At 41.2% G+C, this 24,785-nt stretch overlaps 1 long non-coding RNA gene across 1 annotated transcript in view; it reads left to right on the top strand.

Moving 5' to 3' along the window:
• The first annotated feature begins 7,828 nt into the window (after nt 1–7,828).
• Nucleotides 7,829–24,785, top strand: part of LOC102724945 (uncharacterized) — a 244,858-nt gene continuing 227,901 nt past the window's right edge. Inside the window, exon 1 of the long non-coding RNA XR_001750942.2 lies at nt 7,829–7,898. This is a non-coding gene — a long non-coding RNA (uncharacterized LOC102724945). The remainder of the gene's footprint in view (nt 7,899–24,785) is intronic.

Here is a 24,785-nt window from a genome sequence, read left to right as displayed (position 1 = left end):
AGATTCTTGTTCAGGGGAGGGATGTAGATATTGATAAATGTTAGACATCGTTAGGAAAAATGAGCATAATATAAGTATAGGTTAAAGAGTTAGGGCAACCACCACAACAATAACTATAGAATTATGACATTTAAATCAGCAGAATAAAATGGAGACTATTTAAAGAAAACCAAGAAAGAGAAAAGAAAGAAATAAAAGGAAAACATGGCAAATAGCACTAAATAAGATAGCAAAGTGTCAAAGTAACAGTAATTATAGTAGATACAAGTGAGTTAATGTGAACAACCAACAGACAGAAAGAGTTTTTAGACCCATGATCTGGACAGATGTTATTTATAAGAACCATAAATTTTAAATACAAAAGGATATAGACCGATTGAAAATAAAGGAATGGAAAAAAATACACCAGTTATGTCTGAAGCAAAGAAATCATAGGTAGCACTTAATATCAGAGCAGATAGAATTTAAGGTGAAAAACCTAATAAGGGACAAGAAACATTACATGTTGGAGATATGACACCATCATCATGAACATATGTGCTGCTAACAGATCTCAAAATATCAAAAGCAACAACTGACTTAAGAGAAAAAAATAGATCAATACTTATGGTTAGAATAAAAACAAACCTTTTTGGAAAATGAAAAAGCAAATATATAAAATATATCTGAAAAGAGATCAAACAAATACATAAAATATGTGATTTTCAGGCCTGTGTAGGTATAAGTAAAAGAGGAAGTTTAATTCAAAGGCTCAGCTTCATCTAGACTATGTTCTTTGAATATGGTGTGATAAAACTAGAAATTAATGACAAAAATGAAAGCTAACTAAATAAACAATGTGAATGTGGTAAACTAAAAATTATATCTAAAAATTTCCTAAGGTTTTATATATAAAGACGATTTCAAAAAATGTGTTTTCAGTATGAGGCCTGTGTCACTTCATATGTCTTTTCGTCCAGTGTCTGGTGAATTCATTTTGTGGTATAGCAGGTAGGAGGCTCTGTAATGAACCAAAGAATACCAACTGAACATAAAGAAATCCTCTCTCCTATTTAAACCTAACTTCTATAGTTTGTGGAAAATTTTTGGAAAATATGACAAAATAGAGAATATAAGGCAGCTCCCTGACTGAAGGTGATTTCTCTGAACTTTGGCACAATGATTGGGAATATAGAGCAACTGGAGCCGCATCCTTACCTGGGAGTCTGATCTTCAGAGCAGCCTCCTGAGTGCCATGATGTGCACGACAGATACCATGGAGAACATGGAGGTGTCAAGAGGAAGAGAATAGTTCATAGGTTTACGCGGCACATTCTAAAGCCCATTTAAGAGAACCCAGGAAAAAGAGCAGGGCTAGAATTACAGGTATTTTGCTTTGCAGAGGATCACTGATGTCGTCTATGTTTGCCTCTAGTCTGGTGTGGCCAGGGTAAGTGTGAGTTACTTATTGATTTAAAACCTTTTTACCTGGGAAATGAGGGGTAATTACAATTGTTGGCTTAATAGGTATGGTGGGTTGGGTTTCCTAGGAAGCCAACACAGAGATGGAGATAAGCATGAAGGAGGTTTATTAGAGAGTGCCCTTGGGGTCAACATTTGTAGAAGGAAACGGAAGGAAGAGAAGTAAGCAGGATTGGTCAGAGGCAGAAGCTGGGCTGTGATGAAGCCTTTGCAGAGCAGATACATTACGGAAAGTTTTGAAGTTGGGGTAACCCTTTAGAGTGGTCTGGAGTTACGGTGGGAAAGCTGGGACTTTATACCCCACTACTACCACTACTACTAGTCATTAAATGGGCTCTGTGCCAGCAAGGGTGCATCGGCTTGAGTGAGGTGGCTCTTTTCAGCCAAGGCAATCCAAACAGGGATAATAAGCAGTAGTAAGTCCTTCATTCCTGAGGGAGGACATGGATGCCATATCACAGTGTCTGTTATAGTAGTACAATTTGATACACATTTTCTTCCAAACTAATTTTTGCATTTAAGAAAGTGAAGGGTTGGAAGAAAGTGCTAGGCTTAGTAGGCAGTTGAGGGTGAAATCCTTCCCAGCCTAGCACTTGCTGTTGCTATGTGCCCGCTTTGAGAGAAATGGCTCTATGAACGTGAATGGAAAGAACTGTGCTTTATAAAGGTGTAGCACAGGGAGTTCTAACAGTTTTTCCAAGGACCATCTTGTCTGAACAGGACACTAGGAGTGGGAGTATCCTTCCTAATTTTTTTTCCATGTGTAAAGGGAAAGCATGAAGTAAACCATAAATGTTTCAGGTACTACATGTTTCTTTGTCAAATCCTACATATTTGTTTTGAAAAGAATTTAAGAATCTTAATGAACACCCTTGAACTTGTTTTTCACCTGAGGCTAGTCAAGGGTAATTCACAGGTGAGAAGAGAGAGCTTGTGGCTCTCTAAAGAGCTTATGGCTAATTCTACTTCCTACACCTTCTCCCTACCTCCTCCTTTCCTCTTAAACAGGAGAACTGCAGGGGAGGGAAGGAAGAGGGGAGGCCACATGTGAGACCGACAGAGGTGTTGGCAGGAGGAGGACAGCATGGTAGGGGACTCTTCATAGATCTTCCAAATGGCTGGTGGAAGCTGTCTACGTCTTTGATCCTTCTTGGGCTGCCTTCTTGGTGGAATTTTTATCTACTTGTGTGTAGCTAAGATGTGTAGAGCTAAAATGGACAGACCCCAGCAGTTAGAGCAGCCTCCCAGTGTGGGCAGAGCATCTCCTCAGAGAGCAGGGATTAAGCACAGCGGTGTTGGTGTCAAAATCAGACCGTCAAAGTTCAAAGACCAGCTTCATTTCCTGCTGGTCACGTGGTCTTGGACCAGGGATTTAACCTCTCTGAGTCTTAGTTTTCTTATCTGTAAAATGGGGCTGATAACATTACCTCATAGATCTGTTGTTGAGAATGGAATGAATTAACCCTGTAAAATCACTTAGAACATAATAAGTACTTGATAAATACTAGCTATTATTTAGACTATGGGGCCATGTTCCCTGTCCCCTGGGTTTCCTACCTTGACAGATAACTTTAGTATCACACACCAAGCTCCTCTACACCGAAATCTCCCACTCAGGATTGAGGGTCAGAATTTCTGTAGCCAGTATTTTCTCTACCCATCATCTAAGCAAGTGTACAGAGATGCCATGTATTCTTATTTCCTGCATACTGTATTTATATTCTAACACACATAATTTCCCATTTAATAGTCTTCATACACAATTACCTGTCCTCATAAAGACTATTTCTACTCCTGAACTACAGATGGAGTCATTCCAAAGCCTTACAGATAGAAAGGTGGGATCCGTTGCCAAGCATAGATTTTTTTCCTAAATCTCTCCCTGTCTCATCTTACTGTCTTGGAAGATAAATTTTTAGTTTAAACAAGAGGCAGGGAGTAGAGGCAGGCCCCTACTAAATTTTAAATTCTAGACTAAATTTTGCCCTCCAACATTTTTTATAGTCCCTTATGCCATTTTTTCCTCTCCTGGTCTCTCTCCTGGTCCTTCTTATTCTCCTTCAAGGGAAAAGAGCCAAGATGGAGGGCAGCCTGGGAGACTAAAGAACAGGATCCATTTTCATAGACTTAGAAGTAGAACAGGATGAAAGACTAAAACAAACACGGAGCCACAGATTTTGACTTCCTTTGCCTGGAAGCATTGAAACTGAGGAAATGTACAAAAATATAATTTTGTACTTGTGCTATCAATTGTTTATATTATTTAGAGATATCATTTATTTAATTAGCCTATAGAGTTTTTTCACTGCAAAATATAAATGTTTTGTGCCAACCACCATCTTAAGCACTGGGGATACCGCTGTGAGTGAACAAAAATAGAAGCTCAAGAAGAGGTCAAAGCTCTTATGAAGTTTATATAAAAGTGAGAGGAGACGATAAGTAGATAAACAAATACGTATTATGTTGGGTGATGATAAGAAGGAAAAATAACGCAGGGTGTGAGATAAATAGATAAGAAAAATGAAATAAATAGGAAAAAGAAGGAAAAATAAAGCTGGGCGAGAAAACAGAAAAGGACAGTTGAAAGGGGGTATGTGCTATTTTGGGTGGGGTGTTCTGGGCAGGCCGCTTTGTGTTGAGCTGGGACCTTAACACAAAAAAGTGTTTTTCTTGTCATTGTCACCAGATGAGATTTGATGTAAAATACCTGGAATTTCCTTGAGAACAAGATTTTCCCCCATATATACCTTGATCACATCCATAGTAAAGTTGTTACATTCAGCGTGGCATTCTATGTTGATGATTGTCACAACTTTAGAAACTTTCTCTTTTCTATATTTCATTCATTCATTCATTCATATATTCATTTCTATATTTCATTCTTTGTCTCATCCTGTGAAAGGGTAAAACGTAGGAACTGGGGCCAAAACTGACTCATTATTCTGAATGTTCTTAAGTCTGGGAGCGGAGATTTACTGTCTAAAGCTTTTGCATTTGTTTGAAAAATCCATGTCTTTATTTCTTTATCTTTTTTTCTCTATCTTTTTTAAATGATAAGATTGAAAAGTGCAGTAAGAGTTCTGAGCCAATTTGGTGGCATTGGAAATAGTAGTTCCAGTGACTTTTATGGATTTTCTTGTTTTATCTTTGTGTTCCAGGGTGTTCCATAGATCTGGGGTTTGACTCATCCTTCAGACTTACTTCCCTCCGGTGGCTACTTTAACACCGAAAATCCCCATACCTTTCCATCAAAGTCTCTGTAAGGGAGACAGAGGACCTGCTGAGTTGTATTTTTATGATGAATTTTCTTTGTATTATATGTTTATATTCATTAATCCTGGAATCCTTACTATGTTGTTCTCCAACATCCTAAATACATACAACTTAAGGCTACATAATTTTTTCTGCTGTGATAGTCATACATCAATGATAGAAGGAACACAATCATTTGGGAATGGATGGGCCTTTTAGACTTGCAGTCCAGACTTCAGTTTTATCTCTGGAGCAGGCAGCATGCCCAGTTTATGCTGTACTTTGTTTCTAGGTTTTGTTACCTTGGCTAATGTATTTTCAGTGGGTGAAATAGCTTGTGCTCTACCTTCTTGCATAGAATATTGGTTCCAGGGGTAGAGAACAGGGAGAACATGCTTTATTTTTCTCTGCCTCCTCTGACCTTAGCTCCAAGCTCCCACAACTTCCAGGGATGCCTTGAAAACCAATTTCACTTCTAAACATGTATTGAGAGCCGAATCTCTGCTAGGTTTATAGTGGGAGAAGGGGGAGAGCAGCATAAAGATATCTGTGGAATGCAGAGATGTGAGGAGAAAAAAAGTGGCAGGAGCAGGAGAGAAGGCAAGGGACAGTGAAGCAGCAGAAAAGAAGGTGAAATCAGTTTCTGTTATATTCCCCAAATATATTTGAGGAAGATGATTCTTGAAGAGAATAAATACTTGTGGTGATGGAGGCTGTGGTAGAGGGGGTGGTAAGTGTGAAGATGCAGGGGGAGGAGATGGTGCTGGAGGTGGAGATGGAGGTGGAGGTGGAGGTAAAGGATGTAGTGGGGGGATGGAGGAAGTAGCATAGGAGGTTATGGAGGTGGGACAAGTGATAGAGGTGGAGCTAGGGATGGTGGAGGGGGTGGAAAAGATGGTAGTAGGAGTGGTGGAGGTGGAAGTAGTAGAGCTGGTGGTGGAGGTTATGGTTGGGTGAAGGTGATGGAGATGGTGAAGAAGGTGGTGAAGGTGGTGGAGGAATTGGTGGTGAATCCAAGGTGGAGGGAGAAGAGTTGGTTGGGGCGATGGAGGGAGAAGAGTTGGTTGGGGCGATGGAGGGAGAAGAGTTGGTTGGGGCGATGGAGGGAGAAGAGTTGGTTGGGGCGATGGAGGGAGAAGAGTTGGTTGGGGCGATGGAGGTAGAAGAGTTGGTTGGGGCGATGGAGGGAGAAGAGTTGGTTGGGGCGATGGAGGTAGAAGAGTTGGTTGGGGCGATGGAGGTAGAAGAGTTGGTTGGGGCGATGGAGGTAGAAGAGTTGGTTGGGGCGATGGAGGTAGAAGAGTTGGTTGGGGCGATGGAGGTAGAAGAGTTGGTTGGGGCGATGGAGGTAGAAGAGTTGGTTGGGGCGATGGAGGTAGAAGAGTTGGTTGGGGCGATGGAGGTAGAAGAGTTGGTTGGGGCGATGGAGGTAGAAGAGTTGGTTGGGGCGATGGAGGTAGAAGAGTTGGTTGGGGCGATGGAGGTAGAAGAGTTGGTTGGGGCGATGGAGGTAGAAGAGTTGGTTGGGGCGATGGAGGTAGAAGAGTTGGTTGGGGCGATGGAGGGAGAAGAGTTGGTTGGGGCGATGGAGGTAGAAGAGTTGGTTGGGGCGATGGAGGTAATAGAGGTAGTGAATGTCGTGGCTAAGAAGGTGAAAGAGGTAGTGGAGGTGGGTGGGAAGGTGGCTGAGATAGTAGAGGAGGTTGAGGTGGTAGAAGTAAGATAGTGGCGGAGGTGGCCGGGGAGATGTATTTGAGGTGATGGAGAAGGTTGTGGAGTGAGTGTAAGTGGAGATGGAAATACCTGTAGTGATAGCCCAAAGTGATAGGGTTTGTGGAGTCATCTACAAATATAAATATCCACTCTTAAGTCAGAGTGAAACAAGTGCACCAGCACGCGGGAGAACAAGCAGCCATATGTACTACTTAAAACAATTTTCTGCTTAGGACTTTCAGATATTTTTCTCACTAGTTTAATGCATTTTTGCCTTGAATCTAAAATTGTTTTTGTTTTCTTAGATGAGTCAGAGAGCAGTTGATGCCCATTCATTCTCACTGTAAATGCTTTCTATCCGCCAGACTGGACCAAGCATGGGCAATCAAAAATGAAAGAGACTTAGTTTCTGTCTTTGTTGAAGACACAGACCCATAAGTGATAATTATAACACAGTGACGTTAAATGCAATGACGGAGATGTAAACAGCTATGGAGGATGATAGACAACCAAGGTGGGGAGTGTTAGGGACAGAGGAAACTTACTGGAACAGGTAATACCTTAAGGATGAGAGAACTGGGGATTAGTTGGGTGAAGGGGAAGATGAGCATTATAGGCAAAAGTAGGAAGTAGGAAACAGTTTACAGTAAACATGTAGCACAGTAACTAGTTCTCTAACTTTAACTTTTCCTGCTGTCTGCCGGGTATGTTCAGTTCCTTGCATGATTTTGGAATTTAGAATCAGATTTGAAAGCATTCATGGTTGCAAAAAGTAAATTGTAAGTGTGCAGTCAGGGTCTTTTAGTGCTTTTTTTTTTTTTTTTTTTTGAGATGGAGTCTTGCTTTGTTGCCCAGGCTGGAGTGCAATGGCGCTGTCTCGGCTCACTGCAACCTCTGCCTCCTGGGTTCAAGTGGTTCTCCTGCCTCAGCCTCCCGAGTAGCTGGACTACAGTCTCGTGCCACCACACCCAGCTAATTTTTGTGTTTTTAGTAGAGATGGGGTTTCGCCACATTGGCCAGGCTGGTCTCGAACTCCTGACCTCGTGATCGGCCCGCCTTGGCCTCCCAAAGTGCTAGGATTACAGGCATGAGCCATTGTGCCTGGCTGATCTTTTGGTACTTAATGGTGAGATGTTCAAAAGTATAGACAATAAGGGAGAATCTCACAGTTGGTGCCACCAAATTCTTTAAACTCACCCGTTCTTGTAGCTAGAGAAGTGAGTGGGAAGACAGTTCAAAAGGATAGACAATAAAGGTGAATCTCACAGTTGGTGCCACCAAATTCTTTAACCTCACCCATTCTCGTAACTAAAGTGAGTGGGAAGATAGAATCTGAATAATTTTTCCTATCAGTGGAAGCAAGACAAACAGTATTTAAGCTGGGATGGGTGGGTGGGTATGCAGTATCTGTGCAGAAGATGAGTTGCTCACTCAGAGAAGACCTGATATTCAAGGAAAAGTCAGCCAAAAACGTGAGTCACTCATTAGCCTCTTTAAAAGGTGGAACATGCTAAGGCGGGGAAGGTAAACAGACTCTTGCTATGTTGGATTAAGATGTACCCTTAGATATAACTCTTCTCTGGAAATGAAAAAAATTCTCTAAAAAATATAGCACACATATCCTTGACCCAATTAAAATATAGCATTTCAAAAAGGAAGCAGATAGCACATGGTTTGTCAAATAAATGACTCAATAGAAACGCATGAAATATATTTGAATAGAGATTGCCAAATGTTGTTTTTTAAATAAGGAACTCATTAAAGTCTATGAAACAGACTTCAGAAATTGATTTCCTGGAGTGAATACCACAAATGATTCTCCAGAGCCCACGAAGAGGAAGTTTTCTAACCTATTTCTCTGGACCACAAGTTGTCCTGCAAAGGGTGAGAAGAGAGGGATGTCACTGTTTTTCTAGTTCGTGGTGCCTCCATGGTGAACTGAGATGCTCAGGGAGGCTAGATAGTGGCTTGATGCTGTTTATGCAGAATTTCCAACTCAGAGAAGGCCTCCCACCTCCATCTGGAAGACTTAGTATCTTTGCCCACCTACCTTTGAAAGCAGGATATGGATTGCACAGGAGAAAATATTGGAAATTGACCACTGAACCACATATTTAAATTCATTCCTGGCTCTTTCTTTCCAAATAGCAATTGAGTTTGATTATTGTGATTCGGCCATCTGCATCTCATGTTTATAATTGTCCACACTGCCACTGTCTGAGATTTTCTCAATTAATATTATTAAGGGGTGGATATGTGATTTTCTGGATGGTTCAATTTACTCTTCTGTCTTGTTTTGATAAGAAAGTGGCTACCTGCAAGCACTAAGGGGCTTTTATCGGCATTTCGAATTTTTGCTTGTGAGCAAATAACAGGAGAACAGAAATACTCTCCTGGTTGCCTTTCAGAGACAGAATTCTGTTTAATTTGCAAAACCATTTATAAATTCTCAGTATTAACTCAGCCTTTCTTGCCTGCCTTACAAAAGCAGCTCTTAAGAGATAAAGTGTTTGGGACCCAGTGGGAAAGATTCCAAGCTCATACTGCCAAATCTCCTGAGTTATCCTGACTCCTATCTGAGATTTGGGGATTTTTCTGTAAGAAGGAGGAGTGTGGGATTGGCCCCCCTCTGGAACATAGATGAGAGAGTAAATTGACTTGTCTGTTTTTCAAAGATAATTGTGGGTTGTGAAACTAAGCTAAGTAGGTAGCAAAATCCTACGCAGATTACAAAAGAGATTTTCCATCTCTGCATTACCACACGTAATTTTAGGCCCTGAAGCAATGTCTGGTGGGCCAGTTGAACGTGCTAGGGCAATTGTCTAATGACTCTGACAGAAGTGGTGGCTGGGATTAGATCATGAGTGATAGATTCCTAGAACTGGAAGGGACTTTAAAGATTTTCTAGGCAAACCCTTTTGCTTTCCAGTTGAGGAAACTGAGGCCCAGAGAAGCTTAGCTATTTCAAGTGGTTACCATGGTAATCCTGATTGCTAGCACTGTGCTTTGATGTGGGGTGACCCTCAACTAGACCTCAAATAATGGCTCTGCTGCCTTCACTGTGGATGTTCCCCAGAACACATGTCATGGGTGACACTGGGACTCCTCACAGCTAGTCCTGCTACTCAAAGATCACAAAGCATCTTGCTCTCATTTGTTTTGGCCACACCTCAGCTAAGGGGGCAATATTTTCTCTATTAATGGACTCACAATATGTGGCTCTGCCAGTAGTCAGAGGGATTCTCAGTGGGGACTTGGAGAGATGGGCCTGCACTTGTGCCTTCCATCCCAAACTCCCTCTTTCCCTGGGATTCTTTCTCAAGCTGAGTGAAAGAGCATCTTGGCTCTGGGATTTCTCCTTTGCTGAAAGGTTGAAAACACTGGTGGAGGTCTTGGTCAAGTTAGGCAAATTCTCTGCACTTTTGTTTCTTATCTGTAAAATAGGAAAAATAATAATTCACGAGGCTTGTTGCCAAACATAGTCCTGAGTGCAAGGAAGGCAGCTGATAAATGTTTATTCTCTCCTTTGCCTTTTATAATAAAATATCTGAATATTGCTGGTTTCTGATTAGTCTAAAGAAAGTTATTTAGTTTTGTCTATTTATGAAGATAATACCTCTTCCTTGTAGAAAATGAAACAATGCTGAAAATCGTGAAATCCCCTGAACAGTTACTATCTAGAGATAACTCTTCATACTTTTGCAACATTCTTTCAGTCATCTTTCTACGCATCTTTGTTTATATTTGTGTTCAAATCTATAATTTTACATAAAATGAAATCATAGTAGAAACACTCTTTTGCAATCTACCTTGTTCACTCAAGAGGTCAGTTCAAAGAAAGCACTAATAGATATTTTCTGCCAGATGTTTGTCTCCGCTGTAGGACAGAATGAACAACACAATCTCATCTCACAGATTGAAACTTCACTAAGACCTATTTGGCACTCTTCTCTCCAAATGTCCCTTTCCTCTATCTCCTCACTAGAGAGAGAATATGTCACTGGACATATACAATGCAATTTCTGGAGTGTGCGAAAGATTTGCCAACCAGGGAAGTTTTCTGCTTTTATTTACCCTAACAAAAGCCAGGATAAATAAATGATGTCTACTCTATAGTCTCTCCTGCATAGTCCTTTGAATCCCCTTTGTTGGATCCTTTTTTTATTTTCTGTGGGACAAACCTCCAGGGAAGGCACAGATTTTTGTGTACTGTAGCTCACTGGGTCTTACTGACCTGTAGCTATGGGTGGTCATTGTTTTGTTTAGACTGATCTTCTTGGCGGCCTAGTGTCTCATCCTTGTCAGACAGATTGACATTAGCGATGCTCTATCCTTCGCCTGCCTCTCAGTTTTGTCCATATCCCCTGTCTCTTCGGAACTGTGATAGTGGTGATATAAGTGATGATTTAGCACTAAGCATTAGAAAGGCATGCAGACTGATTCTGCCAAGAATTATAATCTGTTGCTGCTATCAGCTCATTCCTATGAATGCCCATTAGTAGAAAGTAGAGCTAATTGAAAGTCTGGGTATTGGGAGCCTTGGATCATAATGAGCAGATGAAAAACTTCAGTATTATAACCTCGTGTAGGGATATCACACTTCCATGCAAATGGTTCTCATCCATGAAGGAAGGATGTTAAAATTCATGTGGTCCCAGCTCACATATATATCACCAGTATGATGTGAAGGAAGGCCTGCCTATCTCTCCTTCCTTCCTTCCTTCTCTTTCTTCTTTCTTTTTTTCCTTCTTTCTTTTCTTTCTTTCTTTTCCTTCCTTCCTTCCTTCCTTCCTTCCTTCCTTCCTTCCTTCCATCCATCCATCCATCTTGCTCTGTTGCCCAGGCTAGAGTGCAGTGGCACAATCATGGCTGACTGCAACCTCAACCTCTCAGGCTCAAGTGATCCTCCTGCCTCAGCCTCCCAAGTAGCTGGGACCACAGGTACATGCCACCATGCCTGGCTAATTTTTAAATTTTTTTGTAGAGACAGGGTCTCACTATGTTGCCCAGGCTGGTCTCAAAATCCTGGGCTCAAGTGGTCCTTCTACCTCAGCCTCCCAAAGTGCTGAGATTACAGGCATGAGCCACCTCATCTGGCCTCCTTTCTTATGCTTTGAGATCCTGGATCCTGTGATTATTGTTTTCAATTTAAAAACAGCAGTTTCAGGGTGTTTTCTGTTTTGTCATATTTGGGCCAGACTATCTCCCAGAGTCTACAAGTTTACATTTCTTCACAGCCTCCGCTCTCCATACCACAGGAATCTGTGCCGATTCATTCATGCCAGATGTATTGAGGTGTTTTTTTCTTAGGCAGCTTTCATCTAGGAAGAGGTGGGCTGGATACACCCACTCGTTTCCCACCATCTCCAGAAGGAGCAGCTTTAACTATGACTCAGTGATGCAGGGCTTCTGACCACAACCTAAAAATGAAAGGCCCTATCACCAATCTTATCTGCTCATCAAAAAACAGACGGTGGTGATATGCAGTCAAGCTTGCTGGTACTTCCAATGCCTGCCCTGAGAAGGTTCTGCCATGGAGATGAAGACACGCTGGAGCCACAGGAGTGGTTCTGGAACATCTAACCTTCTTGTGCAAAGTTTCTATCATAACTTGAGATTAGACATGCTCTTATTAGGAAAGTTGGTAAGTTGGAAGGAAATATAATATTCTTAAGTTAGAACATTTCTGAGCTTCTCTTCCAAAAGAAAACTTCTAATTTATGTGGCATCTGTGAGTGTGCGTTTTCTCCTTCACTGATTATTTTACGATTTCTCCCATACACTGAGAATCACTGCAGAAGGTGCTCTGGGGCAGCTGGAAAGGAAGTATAAGGAAAGACCCTTGCTTTGGAAATTCTGAAGGAAAATGAAATATGCTTTCCATATGTTTGTATCTGTATGTGTTTCTAAGTAGACAACCTAGAACTTCTAGTTCTAAACTCTAAAGAAAGTCCGTATCTGGCTGGGCGCGGTGGCTCACGCCTGTAATCCCAGCACTTTGGGAGGCTGAGGCAGGCGGATCACGAGGTCAGGAGTTCGAGACTATCCTGGCCGTGCCACTACACACACATCCAGCCAGGGCGATAGAGCGACACTCAGTCTCAAAACAAAAAACAAAAAAAAAGAAAAAAAGAAAGTCCATGTCTAACTTGAATCTATGATTAAAAAATTGATGCTTATAAATTTTAAATGTAATTAAATGTAATCATCTGTAAAGCAAGCTGGATTTGACTGGGGTAAGTTTGAATTTTAGTTGTGCTCTCTCCACCTCTAGTTTAGTAGATGGGCCAAAAAGAGGTTGTCGGCTGGGCATGGTGGCTCATGCTTGTAATCCCAGCACTTTGGGAGGACGAGGTGGGTGGATATCACTTGAGGTCAGGAGTTTGAGACCAGTCTGGCCAACATGGTGTAACTCCGTCTCTACTGAAAATATAAAAATTAGCCAGGCGTGGTGGCAGGCACCTGTGATCCCAGCTACTTGGGAGGCTGAGGCAGGACAATTGCTTAAACCCGGGGGGCAGAAGTTGCAGTGAGCCAAGATGATGCCACTGCACTCCAGCCTGGGCGATAGAGCAAGACTCAGTCTCAAAAAAAAAGGTTACCCAGGGTCAAGGAGAAGAGAGCCAGTTTTTTCCTGCAAATGTGCACAGAAGTTACTTTGTGTGCTAGATGATTTCCATTTGCCTCTCCAGTCCACTCTCCATTCTCACCCACTCATGGGCTGTATCAGTGGCTACCTTGCCCTCTGTCATCTAGTAGGTTTGACAAAAGAGGCATCTACAGGTACAGGAGGACAGGCAGAGTGGAAGGTCAGGATATCGATTCTGCCAGTTCCCTTCCTGCTGTGTTGCTGTGAGTTGGCTGTGTCCATCTACCTATGACCACAACTCCTGTCGAAAAGTCCCTGCTCTCTCCAGACTCAGACAGATGCTCCTGTCCCTTGCCCTTTCAGCTCTAGGGTGGTATCAGCTCCCCGCTCTTGCTAGACCTGAGGTGCCCCATTATTCTTGGTTGGTTTCCTTACGCTCTGCCCTTCTTTGTAAATAATCCCATTATTAAGCTTTCCTCTGTTACTATGTTTGAATGGACCATCTTTTCCTGTTGATTCCTGACTATTATACTTAGTGAATATTTTAGGGATCATTTAATGACAAAGAATAGAAGCTCACACATACTAGCTCAAGTACAATATGAACTTACAGACAGGACACAGGGCAGTAAGGAACATGTATCAGGTCATCTGGTAAGTCAGTACCTGAAACCATCTCCTCAGTCTCTTGTGGCACGAGGCTATGGTGTCCCTTATTTCTGCTCTTTCTACACATCTGCTGTCTTCAGCTACTGTCTTATATTGGTATTATTTGTCTGTCTCGTGAACTTTCTTTGTCTGGTCATGCTACAAACTCCTGCTGTGACCCTATTTAACCTTTCAGTTCAAGGAATCCTCACCATTTAATTGTGTTTCTCAGTGTCCTATTTGAAGTTTCCTGGGAGAGAGAATCTCAGTGTTCAGTTTGAGTTAGGTCTATTTATGGTCCACTCAGGTGTGGTGGAGGAGAGGGGTACACAGGACTGTCCTTTCAGGGATGTGAATAGGACTTCCAAGGAAGGTGTATGTTCGATGGGAAATTATTGGTATCTCTACGTAGTGCAGTAAATCTCTCTCTGGAAGAATATTTGAAATCTCAGGTGAAAGTGATGGCTAAGCTTGTCCTTAAGCCATATGGAAAGGCAGTCTATTGCCTCATTCTCAGTTTCAGTAGAAATACATTCAATACTTCCAGAAACCTTGGAAGAGAGCTCTTCTGACAATTTCTCCTATATGTAACCTGCTGTGGATTTTGTCCATTTATTTCCTCTTTCCTGCTGTGAATGGTAACCAATCCACTGTTCAATGACACACTCACTGGATCCTTTTTGGTGACTGGGTGACTGTAACTGGAAGCAATTAATGAGATCCTCATCACTCTTTAGGGTGAACATGCTATCAGCTTTTCAGTCCCCACTCAAATATGAGCAGATAACCAAAGATTACACATCCGTAGAGAGGCTCTAACATGAGAGAAACACACACACACACACACACACACACACACACACACACACACACACACACAGAGAGAGAGAGAGAGAGAGAGAGAGAGAGAGACCAAAGAAAGCAGAAACAGCAATTTGGAGGAAGCAGAGACTAAACCAGAAGATGAAAATTTTTAAAATTGAAGGCTATAGTTAATATTCCTCAAGGAGACAAGAGAAGATGTTGTAACCATGAAATAAGAAATAAATACTATTTAAAAAGGAACATTTAGTGGACAAAAAATAGATTCTTAGAATGTAAGACATATAAAATATTAAAGTATAATCAAAAAGTTAAACTCAATAGAAATATTGAAGATAATGTTAAGCAAATCTCTGAAAAAATACAAAAATAAAAAGTAATGAAAAATAGGGATGAGATATTTATTTAAAAATTCTAAGGACAAGTTTACATGATCTAACATCTAAATATAAGAGTTCCTGAAGAAGGAATAGAGAGAGAGGAGAAAGTCATCGATCAAGTGATTCAAGAAAATTTTCTAGAAAAGGACGTAAGTTCCCAGACTGAAAGAGTTCACTAAGTACCTTTAAAATGAATGAAAATAGACTTAGACCAAGGGCACCTCATTCTGGGATTTTGGAATATTGAGGACAAAGAAGATGCTACCAGCTTTTGGAAAGAGAAAAGTAGGCCACATAAAGGATTAGGATCAGAATGGCTTTGTGCTTCTCAACAGCAAAATTAGAATTTAGAAACAATAGAGCTATAGGCCTTCAAATTCTAAGGAGGAATGATTGCCAACCTAGCATTTGATACTTGTTCACAGTATCAGTTGGATGTGAGATGGGAATAGAGACATTGTTAGATACACACATTCTCAAAACCATTTCCTTCCCACATACCTCTTCTTAGGAAGTGACTGGTAGATGAGTTCCATGAAAATGAGGTATAAACAAAGAAAGAGGAAAAGATAAGGCATAGGAAACTGGGAGCAAAAGGAATTCTCAGAACCATGAAGGGAGACACCAGGAAGACAGTGAGTGTACAAAATATAGAGGGGTTGGGGCAGGTCAGAAAGCTCTAGGTCACATTTCCTCAGGAAGACAAAATTAATAGACTATTAATTGAATTAATTGAATATATATTGAATACCTTGAGAGGAGATTTAGACAACTGTCAAAGATAGGCATTAAACTAGTGATAAATACATAGAAAACTAAGGAAATGAAGACAACAAGGCAATTATTAATTCCAGGGAAAATAAAGTTGTACAAAAAAGAAAAAGTGATTATGATAATACATGGCTCATCTGTGAATAGCATTTACATAGTCATAATACTAGAAATTTCAAATATTGGCCGGGTGCGGTAGCTCACACCTGCAATCCCAGCACTTTGGGAGGCCGAGGTGGGGGGATCACCTGGGGTCAAGAGTTTGAGAACAGTCTGGCCAACATGGTGAAACCCCATCTCTACTAAAAATACAAAAATTAGCTGGACATGGTGGTGCGCATCTGTAATTCCAGCTACTGGGGAGGTTGAGGCACAAGAATTGCTTGAACCTGGGAGGTGGAGGTTGCAGTAAGCCGAGATTGCACCACTGCACTCCAGCGTGGGCGATGGAGTGAGACTCCTTCTGAACATTGACGCAAAAATCCTCAATAAAATACTGGCAAACTGAATCCAGCAGCACATCAAAAAGCTTATCCACCATGATCAAATGGGCTTCATCCCTGGGATGCAAGGCTGGTTCAACATACACAAGTCAATAAACATAATCCAGCATATAAACAGAACAAAAGACAAAAACCACATGATTATCTCAATAGATGCAGAAAAGGCCTTTGACAAAATTCAACAGCCCTTCTTGCTAAAAACTCTCAATGAACTAGGTATTGATGGAACATATCTCAAAATAATAAGACCTATTTATGACAAACCCACAGCCAATATCATACTGAATGGGCAAAAACTGGAAGCATTCCCTTTGAAAACCAGCACAAGACAAGGATGCCCTCTCTCACCACTCCTATTCAACATAGTGTTGGAAGTTCTGGCCAGGACAATCAGGCAGGAGAAAGAAATAAAGGGTATTCAATTAGGAAAAGAGGAAGTCAAATTGTCCCTGTTTGTAGATGACATGATTGTATATTTAGAAAACGCCATCGTCTCAGCCCAAAATCTCCTTAAGCTGATAAGCAACTTCAGCAAAGTCTCAGGATACAAAATCAATGTGCAAAAATCACAAGCATTCTTATACACCAATAACAGACAAACAGAGAGCCAAATCATGAGTGAACTCCCATTCACAATTTCTTCAAAGAGAATAAAATACCTAGGACTCCAACTTACAAGGGATGTGAAGGACCTTTTCAAGGAGAACTACAAACCATTGCTCAGTGAAATAAAAGAGGACACAAACAAATGGAAGAACATTCCATGCTCATGGATAGGAAGAATCAATATCGTGAAAATGGCCATACTGCCCAAGGTAATTTATAGATTCAATGCCATCCCCATCAAGCTACCAATGACTTTCTTCACAGAACTGGAAAAAACTACTTTAAAGTTCATATGGAACCAAAAAAGAGCCTGCATCACCAAGACAATCCTAAGCCAAAAGAACAAAGCTGGAGGCATCATGCTACCTGACTTCAAACTATACTACAAGTCTACAGTAACCAAAACAGCATGGTACTGGTACCAAAACAGAGATATAGACCAACGGAACAGAACAGAGCCCTTGGAAGTAATACCACACATCTACAACCATCTGATCTTTGACAAACCTGACAAAAACAAGCAATGGGGAAAGGATTGCCTATTTAATAAATGGTGCTGGGAAAACTGGCTAGCCATATGTAGAAAGCTGAAACTGGATCCCTGTCTTACACCTTATATAAAAATTAATTCAAGATAGATTAAAGACTTAAATGTTAGACCTAAAACCATGAAAACCCAGAAGAAAACCTAGGCAATACCATTCAGGACATAGGCATGGTCAAGGACTTCATGTCTAAAACACCAAAAGCGTCAACAAAAGCCAAAACTGACAAATGGGATCTAATTAAACTAAAGAGCTTCTGCACAGCAAAAGAAATTACCATCAGAGTGAACAGGCAATGTACAGAATGGGAGAAAATTTTTGCAATCTATTCATCTGACAAAGGGCTAATATCCAGAATCTACAAAGAACTCAAACAACTTTACAAGGAAAAAACAACCCCATCAAAAAGTGGGTGAAGGATATGAACAGGCACTTCTCAAAAGAAGACATTTATGCAGCCAACAGACACATGAAAAAATGCTCATCATCACTGGCCGTCAGAGAAATACAAATGAAAACCACAATGAGATACCATCTCACACCAGTTAGAATGGCAATCATTAAAAAATCAGGAAACAACAGGTGCTGGAGAGGATGTGGAGAAATAGGAACACTTTTACACCGTTGGTGGGACTATAAACTAGTTCAACCATTGTGGAAGACAGTGTGGCGATTCCTCAAGGATCTAGAACTAGAAATACCATTTGACCCAGCCATCCCATTACTGAGTATATACCCAAAGGATTATAAATCATGCTGCTATAAAGACACATGCACATGTATGTTTATTGTGGCACTATTCACAATAGCAAAGACTTGGAACTAACCCAAATGTCCATCAATGATAGACTGGATTAAGAAAATGTGGCACATATACACCATGGAATACTATGCAGCCATAAAAAAGGATGAGTTCATGTCCTTTGTAGGGACATGGATGAAGCTGGAAACCATCATTCTGAGCAAACTATCACAAGGACAGAAAACCAAACACTGCATGTTCTCACTCATAGGTGGGAATCGAACAATGAGAACACTTGGACACAGGATGGGGAACATCACACTCTGGGGACTGTTGTGGGGTGGGGGGAGTGGGGAGGGATAGCGTTAGGAGATATACCTAATGTAAATGACGAGTTAACGGGTGCAGCACACCAACGTGGCACATGTATACATATGTAACAAACCTGCACGTTGTACACATGTACCCTAGAACTTAATAATAAAACCAACAAAAAGAAAATTAAATAATTAAAAATATGCATACATCCCAGGCAGCCATTGCTAAGCAATTGGAATTGGCAAACAAAACAAAGCTATCTTTATTTGGGCAACATGAAAACAATGAGAGTAGAAAAAATATTTTTATGAGTGTCATTAGAACATTGCTTTTTTTTTTTTTTTTTTTAAAAAAAAGACTTGTGGAGTTGGAATAATTATCAGTTGACACCTGTCACAGCAGTGTGTTTGGGGCACAAGCTTCAGTGGAGTTTGATCTTCTCATTGTGGGGACCAAGGGACAGTACAAGTCGAGAGGCAAGGGACTGTCACTGCAGCTAAGAAGAAAAGTCTTCAGGTCTAGACTCATGAGGAGTCAATTCCAGGATGATCAGCTGAGGCAAAGCCTAGAGATCTGGGCAGTGGAGGCCAAATGCTGGATAACCAGAGAGAGGAAGAGGGATATCAGAGGGCAGACCTCAACTCTGATCCTAGAGGAAGGAGGTTCGAGTTTTGTGGCCTCTTTCATATTGCTTGCTAGGTAGAGGTGTTGTTTATGGCCAAAAGTGGGCAGAGACCTTTAGATACCCCCAATCCCTTCACCCTCTAGGTACCCTGATTTCTTCACTCTCTGTGCTCTGTCTCTGACTGTTACAGCTGGATTCCTTCACCAGTGTCTATATGCTTAGCCCGGCACCTGAATCTGGGCCCAATCCTACATCAGCAGCCCCCTAACTTGGTACCTTCACTCTTTCTGGCAACCCTGTGATGTTGGTGGCACAACTGGATCCTTGTCTTCTACCTCAGTTTTCCAGTAGCTGGGTGCCTTACCCTGAACCCTGACTATTCTGGTGCCTTATCTCCGAAATGCCCACCACCCAGTGCTGTGAATGTCCATAGCACCTGGAGATGCCTTGTTCTGGGGTGGGCCGATAATCTGTGTCACAGATCTTTCTTTCACCTCTGCCCAATAGTATTTGTATCTCAGCTTCATTTTCCCCCTGGGGAGTGATTATCCAGCCTCAGGCCAAGCTTTGTATCTAGGTCTTTGCATGTCAGTCCTTTAAGTCCTGTTTAGTTCTATAAGGGCCCAAGTCCCGATTTTATTCCCATGCTAGGAATTTATTGAACATTTACAATCAACCTATTTGGAAACCTTCAAACACGGTTTACACGGATTACCTCATTTAAGTCTTACAACTACTCCCTGAGGTTGTAGCTACAATTACCAGTATCATTTTATAGACAAAGAAATGTAGTTTAAAGATATCGAAGAACTTGTCTGTGGTCACAGTTCAAGGACAGGACAGGAATTGAAACACAGGTCATCTAGTTCCAGCCTCTGACTGTGATTACAAGGTTCATTACCTCCCACAGTCTTTGTTCAAACCTCATCATCCACTTGTTTTCCCAGACCCAGACTTCTCTGACTCAACTTATCCCCAGTTCCAAACCCTGGATCTGGGAGTGGGTTGGTTAGTGAGGGAGTTTGGCCTCCTTTTCCTGTCTGTCTTGTGTGTGCTTGCTTGCTCTTCTGCCATGTTATGATACACAAGAAGGCCCTCACCAGATTGGCCCTTTGATTTTAGATTTCTGAGCCTTCAGAATCATGAGCTGAGTAAACATCTGTTACTTATAATTTACCCAGTGCGTGGTATTCTGTTATAGCAGCAGAAAACAGACTAAGACAGTAGTGATCACACTGCTTTTTAGAGGGTGTTCATGAGGAAATTGGTTGGGGCTGAAAGCTATGATTTGCCTTGTTCTTATAACAATATAGGGCATTTAGTAAATTCAATAATCTTTTTATTTTACATAGTTCAGTGACCTAAATGTAAAAAAATAACAACTTCCCACTCACCCATTGTCTTGGGTTTTAGCCATAGCCAGTTCCTCCTCTTTGCTCGTTCATATCTTGTCTTCATGTTTTGGTATGTTTGATACCTGCTGCCCACCTGGGAGAATATACCTGAAGATGTCCTGGACCTGAGGGTAAAGTCAGGGCTCCTCCAAGCACTGCAAGCTCGCCAAGACTGTATGAGTGCCTTTCTGAGCAGGGCATCCGTGATTGATGATGGGAGAGAGTAAATAAATTTCAGTAAGTACACATGAGAGTGGATCAGGACAGTAAGTGTTTACTACGTACAATCAATGGGCATTATTTTAAAGGAGATTAAAATTTCCTGGACTTAATCCTCCTGCTAGAGTGGTGATGGTGGCAGAGGATGAGTTACTGTTTTCTCCAGGGAGGTGCTGAGAAGAGCATCTGTGCCTTTCAAGTAAAATCATGTAGTAAAACCAGCCGTTTAGAAATCTGTTCAGTTTGGGAATCAATTCTCTGGTAAAATATGTGTTTGTAGTATGTGGAGTGGTAGAAGGTGGTTCTGGAATGTCTGGAGGTTGGAGGTGACACAGCTTTGTCTCTTGACAAATTGGACAGTTGGGAATTGTCGTGGCTTCATTTTACAATGTGTGTAATAGAATCAGATGTTTGGTGGAAGTCGGCATTGGGATTTTGAGTCTGCCAGTTACTCTAGAGGACACTGCATTCTTTCTGAGAGTGAGCTGAAGATGTGATATGATGTTTTGGATGAAACTTGAAATTTAATTTTTTCCCTAAACGTTATAGATTTTTTTCCCAGAAGCTGGAAAAATTATTACTTAAAATTTAAAACAGTATCTGCCTCCTAAGAGGTGAAAGCTTGAACTTAGCTTTAGAACTCTTATTCTGGAAACAAAATTTTGAGTACCTAGCCATTGTTGGGGGGAAAAACCGTGAACTCAAGGTTTTCCTGAAAGTAAATGTTTAAATATAACTAATGTAAACAATGTGTATATTTTAGCAAGTAAAGATTTCTAGATATCTCTGTTTTCTTCATGAGAAAGCTTTTCTTTCCTTAGATTTGGGCTGCGCCGGTCTTTATATTAGCAGTTGGCAAACTATGTCCTGTGGTACAAATCTGGCCCACTGCCTGTTTTGTAAATAAAGTTTTTTTGGAACACAGCTATGTTCATTTATTTGCATATTGTCCATGGCTACCTTCCTACTGCAATAGCAAGTAGTTGTTAGAGAGAGACTCGAAACCTAGACTACTTACTATGTGGCCCTTTACAGAGAAAAGTTTGTTACTCTTACCTTTTACTATTGCTTACTCTTATGTGTGTGCTCTTACTTAAACAGTTGTTCAAAAACATCAGAACCGGAGATCACAAAATGCCAGGAAAGATAGGCAGGCCTGAACTTCACATCACACTTGCGATGAAACTTTGAAAATGCCTTGGACTTGGCTTGGTATAAGTTGTATTGGCTGCACTGTTGATGTGTGTGCACATGATGCTATTCCAGGCTGAAAAACCTGACTTTACTGATATTCAGTTATTATTTTCTGATGTGATTGTCTCATGAGAGCCACAGGACTAAACTCCATGGCAGGTGGGCAGATACAAGTAGGATTTCCCTTGAAGGGAGTGGATATTCTCACTGTCAATCGTCCTGGTAAGAGGGCAACTCTGAGATAGAAAAAGAAGACTTAAGAAGCATGCCTTAGACTAAGGTGAAACTTCCTCTGCTATTTCATGTGGAGGTTAGCTGTGAATTCTGGGGAGAGCAGGAGGGCCCAATGGTACTTCTTTTGCAGAGAAGTGATCTTGTCATTACTTCTTCTTGAGCATACATGAGACAGTTTCCTGGGGGACCTCTCAGAAATATCTGGGTAACATTGAGGGTTAAGAAGAAGAGGTCAATGTCTGGCAGTATACTGATGAGGGCTCAAACTATTGACTCAGTATTATTGATGACCTATTCAATAGCAAAGACCCTCTTTTTCCTTATTAGTGGTGCCTTAATTAGTTCAGATATTGAGTGACCATATTCAAGGGAGGTTGGGCACCTCGTCAGCCCCAGGATGAAAGGTGCATTTTGATTTGTCTAAGCCCATCATGGCAATTCCATTCCCCTTCCTAATAAAAAGAAAAAATGGGCATGCAATACGATTCTAGTCAGTGAGAAACAAATGGAAATTTTCTCCATCATTTATGGGAAAGGTTTCTTTGTTCTTAAATATGAGAAGCCAACGAGAAAGTTGTTCTCTTTCTGCTTTTGGGTGTGGCTGTGAGATGCTATGAAGCCAAAAAGCTGATATAATCCATCTTGCAACCATGAGAAGGAGTTTCCAGTGTGCTGAGGGTGACAGAACAGAATGTGGAAATGACCTTAGCCCTTGATAGTGTCATAGAGCTGCTGAATACGCAGATGTGGAACTTCATGGGCAATGAGAAGGTAAAATCTTACTATTTAAGCCACTTTTCATGGGATCTTCTATTATTTGTAGCCAACCAATACTCTTGAGTATTTAAGGAAATATGACTTCTTGATAATTACAGGTTGGTGAGATTCAGAAATAGTAACCATATCATTAAAATATATCCATGCAAAGATAACTGCACTTGTGGTTACCAAGTAGTTATTCAATTAAAATGGAGAAATCTAGCAACTGACTAATGGCATATGAACCCCAGATCTTCTTTCAGCTGGCAAAAAATCCAGAAAATTATAGTCTTAAATTTCATAATAACAATAAACAAACAAATGACAACAAGACCAAAACAATTTGGGTAATTTGCCCAAGTTGGCAGCGTTTTATTTTGAAAATATTTTAAATTCTAAAATACATTCTTAATATCATCTCAGTTTCAAACACAATAGAAGTACTTAAAGTCACAAGTGATCACTGTTCAGCTGGCTGTTTGAGGCCTACCAAGCAGAAGAACTAGGATGCAGGCCAAGGAACCCACCAGGACTTGCGGTGCCCTAGGAACCAGGTGAAGTGCAGTTGTAAAGCTGTGGGAGCCACTGTCCAAGAGGGCCCCAAATGATATGGCCTCCTGACTCATGCCTTTGGGTAGTTCCCTTCCACACTGAATAGGGCTGACCTCTGTGAACCAACAGGATACTGTGGAAATGATGCTCAGGCAACTGCAGCCTCATGAAAGACCTAGTTGGATTTCTGACCCTCAAAAACTCTTTGAAATAAGAAATGCTTGTTGTTTCAGGTGAACAAGTTTTGGGGTAATTTGCTGTGCTGCAATGGATAACTAATACAAAGACCTAGGCACCCTGGGCCTCATGCCACGCACCACAGTGAGGCTGGATAGTCCACTATCGCAGCAACATTTGCATGTGGCTATAAGACTCCTGCTAAAGTGCTCATTTGGGGTCAACCTAGGGGATGGTCGGCCTTCAGCCTAAAGGTCTTCAGATCAGACAGCTGGGAAGGGATGAGGAGATCTGAGACTGATGGGTGTGTTCACACATGTGTATAGTGTATGCATGTGGGTTTGTGAGTCAGTGTTGTTCCCTGTGCCCTCCATAAGGAACAAAAAGGCCTCTTTGCTGTGCCTGCTACCCCCAGGGGGACTATGAACTCTATTTTAGTTGTGATACCTTTTCTGTTTTTAATCTCTTCTAGTTGATTCTCAGGGATGCTCCTCTTTTGACAGATTCTACAAAGACTTGTTCTGACTCTTAAATTAGTGTTTGGAGAACTCTAATATTGTGTTTGTTTTCATGCTGAGCCTTCTGGGTTTTGTGTATTGAAAACACATTCCTTGGCAGGTAGCAAGTGAGAACTGCATGAGAAATGTGCTCCAAGTCCGTGGAGAAATGCACATAAAGAGGAATTAATGATACTTGTTTATGGTTCTCAGTTGTGAAGCTCTCCTGCCTCTTCTGAATCTGGCTGTTTGCATGGGGGCCGGCATGGTGAAGAATGTCACAAACATAGGGTCATTGGACTTTATGAACTTTGACATTTTCTCAGGTATTAGGGTGTTTGCTTCCAGTAACTCAGGAACTAAATCATTTCTGTTGTAAAAATAAAAACCCCAGCGACCTTAAATTGTGTAGCCCTTGTTGCCTGGAAATTAACTTGAGAAAGAAGGAATTTTTAATAAAAATTTGTAGGCTGTTAGCTTCTGTACAGCTAGAGGGGAAACAAGAGTCCATGGGCAGGAGAGGCGCATCTCCTACTGCACCTGTCTCCTTGTCCCTCCTGCCTTTTCCTGAGCGGGAACCAAGCAGGTGAATTTGTGTCTGGAACTTCAGTTGCTCTGTTCTCTTTAGCAGCTCATGATTTGTGCCTATATTTTCAGCTTGGTCTTCTCTCCACAGACCTGTGCTTTTTTGTTTTGTAATAAAAAAATATTACTTGCCTTTTCAATCTGGAAGGCTTATCTTTCTTTAAAAAAAATTTCATTAATTTTTATTGTTTTTTCTTAA

Source organism: Homo sapiens, chromosome 14 (assembly GCF_000001405.40).
Source record: "Homo sapiens chromosome 14, GRCh38.p14 Primary Assembly".
Taxonomy (NCBI): Eukaryota; Metazoa; Chordata; class Mammalia; order Primates; family Hominidae; genus Homo; species Homo sapiens.
The sequence above is the reverse complement of the archived record's forward strand: the minus strand, read 5'-3'. Positions and strand labels throughout refer to the sequence as shown.